Here is a 10,348-nt window from a genome sequence, read left to right on the forward strand (position 1 = left end):
AGGTCTACAGGATAGTAGGATTGCAGGCATTTAGCAATACCCCAGGTCTGGGTTAGCAGGAGCCCTCCAGGCACTGTCCAGGGTCATGGGGAAAGGAACTGGGGTGATAAGGCAAGCCGACAGATCCTGCACTAAGGAGACACTTTGCCAAATGTTGCACATTCCTTACTGTTTCCCTCATTCTGCTTGTGTTTGGCATTTGGTGCATTATATTCATTCTGAATTACTTGCCCTCTAGAGCAGGTTTTCTCAGCCTCAGCACTATTGTCATTTTGGGCTGGTTAGTTCTTAGCTGGGGAGCTCTCCTCTGCATTGTAAGATTCAGCATACTTGGCCTCTACCCACTAGATGCCAGAAGCACCTCCCTCCAGTGATAACCAAAAAATGTCTCCAGGCACTGCCAGATGTTTCCTGGGGTGCAGAGGGAGGAGGAGGAAATTACTCCCAGGTTGAGAACCACTGCTTTAGAGAAAAGAACTTCAGGGTTATTGGAAGGACTGACCAGAGCTAGGCCCTAGGCAAAAAGCCCAGGGTAGAGAGCTGAACTCCAGTCATGCTCGGGAAATGGAACGGCAGGGAGGAACCTGGGGTTCTTGCAGCTTTGTCACATATATAGAATGGATTCAGTAAGGGGATCTGCTGCCTGTGGCACAGCTGGTACCGAGGGCATAGTCACTCTCAGCCTACTGTATACTGAGCTCACAGCAAAGGGATTAATTCCAGACTTTACTTGCTGGCAGCACAGAGAATCCTTGAACTTGCTTGGTCTTGGTCAGAACAGCTCAAGACCCGAAGAGCACAGGTAGATCTCCACGACTTGCAGCAGAACAGGCATAGGAAAGTCAGAGGAAAAATGATGCTGCTGTTGTTGCTGCTGGCAAACGGATCTATCAGACTCACTGTGTTCCAGGCAGTAGTCTAATACCTTTATCTTCTTCCCATGAGATGTACCTCTGGCTCGTTTCCTGATTTTCTTTGGATCTCTGATTTAGTGTCGCTTCTCAGAGATGCTTTGCCTGGTCATCTTATATAACCCAGCAAATGCATCCCCGTCACTCCCCCACTATTCCTTTTACTCTGTTATTTACTTTTTAGTTACCTACGTCCTCACTCAGAAAAATTAGCTCTTTAAAAATAGAATCATGGCCAGGCCCGGAGACTCACACCTGCAATCCCAGCACTTTGGGAGGCCGAGGTGGGTGGATCATGAGGTCAGGAGTTCAAGACTAGCCTGACCAATATGGTGAAACCCCATCTCTACTGAAAATGCAAAAATTAGCCAGGCATGGTGGTGCATGCCTGTAATCCCAGCTACTCAGGAGACTGAGGCAGGAGAATCGCTTGAACCCAGGAGGCAGAGGTTGCGGTGAGCTGAGATCGTGCCATCGCACTCCAGCCTGGCAACAGAGTGAGACTCCATCTCAAAAAAAAGAGAATCATTTCCCATTTCCCATCTCCATACACTGCCAACTACACAATTTGAGGGGCACAAGTGGGCCGAATTGTGTGCCCCCAATTCATGTGTTGAAATCTTAATCCCTAAGTACCTCAGAATGTGACTGTATTTGAAAACAGAGTTTCCAAAGATGTTATTACATTAAAATGAGGCCGTGAGGGTGGGACCAATATGACTGATGTCCTTATAAGTGGAGGAATTTAGACACGAAAGGACACACCAGGGTTGAGCACCTGCACAGAGAAAACACCTTGTGAGGACACAGAGAGCAGGTGGCCTCCTGCAAGCCAAGGAGGGAGGCCTTGGCTTGGACACCTTGCTGACACCTTGATCTTGGACTTCCAGCCTCCAGAACTGTGATCAATACATTTCTGTCATTGAAGCCTGTACCATTTTGTTATGGTAGCCCTAGCAGGTTAATACAGGGGTTCAGTGCAAAATGAAAACACAGGCCTCTTATTCAAAAAGCCTGAAAACAGTTCCAGTCAAGATACTAATAGATAAAGCTTTTTCCATTTTTCCAGTTTCTCTCTCTTGGCCTGTCATAGTGGTTTTATTTCCTGTTTAATGTTGACTCCATCAAGCACAGGCATACTTGCCAGGCCAGGGCAGGCCTTCTCAGGTACTGGGTGCCCCCCATGTGTCTCAGGGCACTCAAGCCCCATGGGCTGCCAAGTTCGAGCTGCAAGACTGATGTGCTATTTCTTCCAAGGGGTCAGAGCCATGGCAGACGGGCACCTTCCAAGTGTACCGTAACCCTTTGTGCCAGGATGAACTAGTTACCTGGATTGGAGTGAGCAAGAGGCTGCTTGCCAAGTCATCTGCCAAATGTGCTGTGGCACTGCCAGCGCAGGGCAGGAATGGCCACTGCCATGCCCTGTCCCAAGATGCTGTAGGGCATGTGCACCTGACCCACTCCACGTCTGTACCTAGACTCCTGTTGGAGGCAGAAGGTGGCACTGGTTACATTTGGGAGCAGAGGGGAAGGCCAGAGCGATATCACCTATTTAAGGGAGGCAAGGCCATATGTAGGCTGAAGCTCTAAGCACCCAGGCCTGTTCCACTGCTCTATCAGACTTCACTTAAAAATTCAAATTCAAAGATACAGTCATTGGGAGTTTCAAGACAGCAATCTCAGAGCATTAAACTCCCATGTGAAGCCTTTTAGAATGCAGGGCCCTGTGCAACTGCGCAGGTCATAAACCCATGAAGCATTTACGCATGAAGCCAGCTCTGCTGCTATATCCCCAATGCCTAGAATAGTACCTAGAACATAGTAGTTGCTTAATAAATATTTACTGATAAATGAATGAATTTATACCATTTCATCCTCACAACAATGGAGGTCACTTCAATTTAACAGATGAAGACATTGAGTCACCTAGACGCTAATTTACTCTGTAATAATAATTTACTCAGTAATGAGAAGTTGACATTGAGTTGTGCGATAGATCCGTGTGAAATCTGAGGTTAGAATCTGATTCTTCTGTTGAGGGCGCAGAAGCCATTCTCAAAAAGTAGTTTAGGGCATGGGCTTTGGAGTCAAACAGGCCTGGGTTCAAATGTTGGCTCTGACACTTCGTAAGCTGTGAGACTTAGGTAAAGTCTTTCACCTTTCAGACTCTCAGTTTCGTCATTTGTCAAGTAGAAATAACATCTATCTCAGGAATCGTTTTGACTTTAACAAAATACATGCTTCCCACCATACCTGGCACTTGGTAGGCTCTCAATGAGTGGTAGCTAGTATTACTCTTTTTGGAGGTTAATGATGTATTATATGGACTCTAGAGTCAGACTGCCTGCCTTCAAAACCCTGCTCTTCCATTTCCTAGCTGGGTGAGCCTTGGAACAGGTACTTTACTTCTCCATACCTCAATTTCCTCATCTGTAAAAATGAGGATAAAAATAGTACTATCTTACAGGGATGTTTTGAAGATTAAAGGAACTGATGTTTATAAAACACTTAGAAGCAATATCTAACACACAAATACTCTGTACATGCTTGTTAAGTAAATAATTAATAGTTTATGAGACAACTTTACTGACTAGCTTTTTTATGTTTATTCCCTCAAACTCAGATCTTCGTGTTTAGGGCCCAGATCTCACTGAGTGTGCTGAAGTGAGGAATGGTCCAGATCTTATATGTTCATTTGTATCCGCTACACTCTTACCAGCAGTGGGAACCATGTTGGACGTGGAGTGCAATGATCTGGCTCTCTCATACTTGTGTTGCGACTTCATATTAATTGTTTCTCTCTAGTCCTCACTTTCTCAACGTGTTTGGGGGTGGGAAAGACATTGAACTAGATTATTTCCTAGGTCCTTTCCAAGTCTGATTTTCTACACATCTGATTCATTTCTAAAAGTACCCCCTGCCTTCCCCGCTGCAGCTCCAGTGGTTCAGCAGATGACCTCAACTTTCTCAGCTTCAATTTTGTGGTGGGCAAAGAGTGCTTCAGGTCCCAGGAGCATCGCAGTCCTGATCTGACCCCATAAAGAGGAGTAAAACAAACAGATGAGCTCATGTCTCTGCTGGGGATGCAGCTGATGGGATTCCTTCTGGGATTATTGGCCTCCCCTTTCTGGCCACCTTCACTGTGAAAGGTTATTTATAGCATTGTCCTTGGCTTAGAAAATCTGTTTCCCATTTTCTTGCCAATCTCTCCTCCAGTCCACCTTTTGCTGATTCCATTTTTTTGGTGATGGTAATCCTTCCTAAGCACTGTCCCATTGGGACCCCAAGGCCCCCCAAATCCCATGGATCCCTTCCCTGATTCTGACAGAGGAGATGCTGAGGGGTGGATACCCCGAGAGTGAGACTGGGATGAAGACTTTATCTGCTCCTTGCAGCTGCAGCTTTTGTGAGTTGCATTCTCTGGCTCGTCAATACCGTTTCCCATTAAATTAAATAGCTTATTGACTCATGTGCCACCCGGCAATGGGGTTGATGGGATTCACCGAGACTCCTCACTCCTCCCCTCTCCCCCAACAATCACAGGTCACTGCTCAGTAAATCAGCTGGTAATGGAGTTTGAACTCTTAGAATCAGCTCTGTGTATCCTTTTTATTTGTTTTTAATTTGTATCAATGGTAATTCTGTCTGTTTCAATTTATGTGATAGTACAGGCTGCAGAACTGAGGAAGTGCCCCTTTTTACCCCATTAACCACAGAGGGGGTAAAAATCCGTGTCAGGCTTTTTATGACAAACCTGCTCCAGTGGGCAAGGGATGATTCCCTTTCATGGAAGTTCCCTCTTTGTCTGGGACTCTCCAAAGTGCCTCCCATCTCCACCAAGTACAGGGCTAAGCACTGAGTTTGTTTTCCTTGGGCCATGGTCCTTTGTACCTCTTTGTTCAGACAAACTATCGAAGAACACAGGATGGCAGCATCTGGAGAGAGAAGATGGCACCCCACAATCTCCAGGATTCTGTGGCTGGTAAAGTACTTTCTGCCATGCAGGTTCCTACATATTTTGCTATCGGTCCTGCTAGAAGTTAAGTCGATGGCATCTCATCTCTACTCTAGCTCTCCCAAGTTATTTGCCAGCAGGCGAATGCCATTTGCAGCTTATTAGTGTCAAGACACAATTGTAAAGTAGATATAGTTTGCTACAGTGCCCTTTAACTTCCTTTGGTTGTCCTCTTTTCTCCCCTCTGGCCTTGTAGGAAATATGGAGATACAGAAGGAAAATTAAAATGCACATAAGAATGGTTGAAATGAGATGGAGGAAGTAAATCCACAGGAATTCCCAAGACAAGGGTGGCAAAGGTTGGGAATGGTTTGGGGAATACAACAGGCAGAGTGACCTGACAGAGCTGCTCCCAGGAGGGAAGCAGACTAGCCCCCGTGTCACTGGGGGGACATATTGACTCTAAAGGTTTCTGAAGAGGGTAGGGCAAAGAGCAGGCAGGGCCCAGCAGTGCGGGAAAGACTGGAGGTAGAGGAAGTAGCAGAGGAGCTACTTTGAACTGTGACCCCAGCCCGCCCCCAGCATGGTCCCACAGATCTTCATTGAAAGCAAGGAAAAAAAAAATGAAGGTGACATTGAGCTCCAAGCAAAATATAATGTTCAAAATAACATCCCAGAACACAGAGAGAGCCATGAGGAATTCAGCCTCTGACCTGGAGGATTCAGGGTGAAATTATCTAAAGCTCTGAAGAGGACTGAAGCCCCAGCTGGTGTTGGAATGACTTTGCCACTTACAGGGAGCAAGTTTCTGCTCCCACAGGAGCCCCTGTGTCCTCTGTGTTCTGTGGTTCCCTCTCAGGGTGACCCACTCTAAGCTACCTCTCTATCCTCAGGTGTCTCTTTCCCTCTTAGCCGTGAGATTCTCACTCTCTGTCTTATCTCCTGGCTCCGGGAAGCTGATTCTAAAAGTCCACACTATCCCAACTGAGGACAAACTTTCCATTGTTTAATTTAAAAATTCAAAATCTCCCCTGAGCCAAACCTCCCAGACTGCTGGTACTTCCCACTGTCTTCTGGTGTGAGATTTCTTCTGAAATTCATTGGCTAGTGTGCGTTGTAAGTGAAATGCCACTGATCATAGAACTTAATTATTTGGTTAGATCTAGTTATTTTTACACCCAACAGATTAGTTCCTCCTATCTCTAACCAATTTATGAACACGAACTCAGAGGGCCAGACTTCCACAAGTACCCATTTCATGGATCTAATAGGAATCAATCTGCTGAGTTGATGGTGGGATTTACAGATTAAGTTCCAGGTAGAAAGAGAGACAATTTGGGACAGACAACCCTTCCCATGGAGGGACATCTTAATGTAATGGAAAGTCATATAGAGAGAGGGCTAACTGAATGATAAGCATTTCACATGCATTATTTTGTTTACTCCTCCTATCAATCCTAAAAGGCTGACTTGATAAAAATCTTCCTTTCTTTATCTCCAAGATGGGAGTAAAAATACTATTTACCTTAACAGGTACTTTTAAGGATCAAATAAAATAGTATATGTGGTAAGAGTTTGTAAATCACATGCATTTTACAAATGTTAGTTGACGCTCTTATTATCCCTCAAATCAAACCATACAAGCAACTGGTAATTTCAGGTGCAGTCTTAGGCCTCAATATGGTTCGCTGCCTCCATCAGACCTAAACTACTTAGCTCTGTAGCCAAAATTGTGAATTTGATTACATCTCATTGCTTTGCTCACAGGCACCAACATTTCTTTCCTGTATTAAAGAACAGTGTAATAAGGTGAGAATTTCTCTCTTTGTCCAGGGACTGGGATCTAGCTTAGCCCCTGAAGAGAACAGTTTCACAAGTCCCTGGGTGAGCTGGCTGGATGACCCTCAGGTAGAACTGAGCCTTCCCTCTAGCTGAGGAGGTTGGCCCCCTTGGAAGTGGCACAGACTTGCCTATTTGATGCTGTAGCGTCTGACTCCTGGAAGCCTCTAGCTGCTTAATGGATTCATTTAAGTGATAATACGAGCCGATCATATGTCAGGTTGTTAAAATGGTGATAACATATTGCACTAGGAGAACATTATCTACAGTAACTGCATTATAATGGTTAGGGAATGTCGACAGAACTACATATGATATTCCCATAAACACCAAATGAATGCAGAGCAACTAGGCTATTCATTCCAAGTGTGGCCAAGGCAAGAGGTAACACTTCATCTTCCAGGCCCTCGTTTTCCAAACATTGCAAAAAGGAGACATATGCAGACAAGTGTTCACACATCAAAGGCAAACAAATGCACATGCTTCTCTGATTTATAACCAATCCGGAAACCCACTTACCCAGCTTCAAGGGAGGGTGTGAGCTCACAAAATGTTCTTTCCCAAGGAAGAGAATGAATGAGAGGGACAGAGGGAATGTAAGATACTACATGAGCAGCAGGAACCGTGAGCTCTCTGTCCCCTGTTTCTGCTTTACTCTACTAGAGAATTTAAAAGGGGTGGTTGGGTTGCACAGTAAAGCGTCTGCCCTACTTCCCACTCCCTGCACCCTCTAGGACCACCCATTGAGAAAGAATAGTTAAGTAGATAAAAGTTTCTCTTTGCCACCTTCAGCCCCAAGTTTCAGTACTGTTCTCCTGTCTCTTAGTATCTCCCCAATACTCTTCTCTAATACCTCCTCCTCTGATGTTCCGTCTTAAAGTGTTATTCCTCTCATGGTATTTATACTGTAAAGAAGAGTACTACCAGAGCAGAGAGATTCGGCTTATTAGAACATATAGATGTGACTTTGGGCTTCCAACTTCAAATTGGCAATACTAATAGTTACCTTTCATTCAGTGTTTCCTATGAGCTAAGCAATGTGTTTTACATTATCTGTAAACTTCAGAAACATCCGCAAGGCAGGGTTTACAATTACCATTTTAAAGATGAGGTAACTGAGGCTCAGACAGTTAAACAAGTAGCCAGAAGGGAAGAAGCTAGCATTGATATACAACTCTGCAAAACCCTTGTGTTAGGCAGGTTTTCCTTTTAAAGAGCCAAACATCTCTGAGGCCATTCCTTATTTTTTACTTTCAAAAATATTGTTCTACCTTACAAGGCCACTGCGAAGGTCACTTTCCCTTTGGAAATTGCAAACAACTTATACAGATGTCAATAAACACCAGTACAAAGTAAAAAAAAGAGCCCTGAGTCTGGAGTTACAAGACTTGGATTCGAGTTCCTCATTGAATAATATCCACTGGGAAAATGGCTTTATATCTTTGTGCCCTGTGATATGGTTTGACTGTGTCCCCACCCAAATCTCATCTAGAACTGTAGTTCCCATAACCCCCACGTGTCATGGGAAGGACCTGGTGAAAGATAATTGAATCATGGGGGCAGTTACCTCCATGCTGTTCTCATGATAGTGAGTTCTCATGGGATCTGATGGTTTTGTAAGGGACTTTTCCCCCTTTTGCTTGGCACTTCTCCTTGCTGCTGCCATGTGAAGAAGGACATGTTTGCTTCCCCTTCCACCATGAGTGTAAGTTTCCTGAGGCTTCCTCAGCCATGCTGAACTGTGAGTCAATTAAACCGCTTTCCTTTATAAATTAGCCAGTCTTGGATATGTCTTTATTAGCAGTGTGAGGATGAACTAATACATCCTGTCTTCTTCCTGTAAAATGGGGTTGCTGTGAGCACTGGAATCCTTTACTGCCTGCCCACTATGTGTCCTGTAGTGTGCTGGGTCCAGAGGCCTCTGCTCTGTAGCAACTTATAGTCTAAAGGGGCAAATAGATTGCATAAACAGATAGTGATAATAAATGTCCATCAGTGCTATAATAGAGGTAAGTATAAAGTGATCTGGGAGCACCAATGAGGCAAAGCGACTGGTCCTCAGCAACCTCGTTACAAGGAAACAGATGGATAGTGTTCTATCAAAACTAATAGAATGGAAGATATTGCAAAGGCAATATGTGCTGAGGTGCTTGGTAAACTAAAGCACCAAACACATGGAGAGTTTATGATTTGCTCAAAGGAAGGAATTGCTATCTAGAAGAACAGCTATCTTGCCAGCAGGGGAATATTTTTAGGGGAAATACTTCCCTAAAAACATAACACCTCTGGGAGGCTGCCTAGTCCCCTGGTCTACTTCAAACCCTGTTTCTTGGTTTAAACCTAAGTCCTTCCCCACCTCTCTCTATTATCAAGGGCAGGGAATTGTGACCTAACATGCTTGTAGGCCCCAGGCTTTCCCATCACCTGGGGCACTGAGCCGTAGGGAATGCCCCAGGGCCAGAAAGAAAGGCCTTTATGCTTTTAGAAAGTGATGCCACAGGGAGCTCTGAAACCCTGATCCCCCTGCCCTGGGGGAGCCTGAGGCCAGGGGAAATTTCTGGCAGCCTCTCTAACACTGCAATTCTCCCTGCTTACCTGGCTGTGATTTGGGGTCAGTGCTGTTGTTTTTCACTGCTTAATAAGGAACATCCTGGAAAAAGGCTATGCATTCCTCTGTTAAATCAAAACATTTTGTCATAGAAGACAACATGTGGTGTGATTCTATTTATATGAATTGTCCAGAATAGGCAGATCCATAAAGAAAGTAGATTAATGGTTGCCTTGGTCTGGTTGGGGAGTGGCTCTGGTGGAAGACAGGATGGGGGAGTGCACTGCTAATGGGTACAGGGTTTTTTTGGGGGTGATGAAAGTGTTCTAAAACTGATTGGGGTTATAGCTGCAAATTCTGTAACTATACCAAAAACCATTGAATTATGCAATTTAAATTGGTGATTGTATTTTGTGTGAATTATATCTCAATAAAGCTGTTAAAACAAAACACTCAGAAATATTAAGGTTTTGGCCAGGAAGTCACAATAAAGAGTCTCTTGGTGGTGAGAGAAAACAGTACAAGAAGCTGGTCTCTGATGTTCCAGGTTTCAGTGTTCATGTGGGGTTCTGCCTCTCTCAGTTCCACTTGCTTCACAATGACAGGTCCCCAGGGAAAGCTGGTGCTCTCTCCTCAGGACAGAGTCTGGCCAGCTCTTCTCTCCTCTGCCTGCTGCCTAATTTGCCTCAGCCAAGGCAGACGATCTTTCTTTCTTTCTTTTTTTTTTTTTTTTTTGGAGATGTAGTTTCGCTCTTGTTTCCCAGGCCAGAATGCAATGGTGCGATCTTGACTCACTGCAACCTCCACCTCCTGGGTTCAAGTGATTCTCCTGCCTCAGCCTCCTGAGTAGCTGGGATTATAGGCATGCACAATCACGCTCAGCTAATTTTTGTATTATTAGTAGAGATGGGGTTTCACCATGCTGGCCAGGCTGGTCTCAAACTCCTGACCTCAGGTGATCCACCGGCCTCGGCCTCCCAACGTGCTGGAATTACAGGCATGAGCCACCGCACTCGGCCAAAGATCTTTCTTTATAAGGCAATTAAATGTAAGTGGAAAAGATTAGTATAGTGGACGGGGGAAAGGGGGTGTTAT

General features: G+C 44.8%; 1 annotated feature.

Moving 5' to 3' along the window:
• Positions 6,556 to 6,725: an enhancer, noted in NCBI's record as "experimental_1926 CRE fragment used in MPRA reporter constructs". NCBI's record gives its function as "activates a minimal promoter by MPRAs in K562 erythroleukemia cells, with activity observed for the introgressed 1:208757464 variant allele {active_cell/tissue: K562}" and the evidence as "EXISTENCE:reporter gene assay evidence [ECO:0000049][PMID:34662402]".

This window comes from Homo sapiens, chromosome 1, assembly GCF_000001405.40.
Source record: "Homo sapiens chromosome 1, GRCh38.p14 Primary Assembly".
NCBI classification, from domain to species: domain Eukaryota; kingdom Metazoa; phylum Chordata; class Mammalia; order Primates; family Hominidae; genus Homo; species Homo sapiens.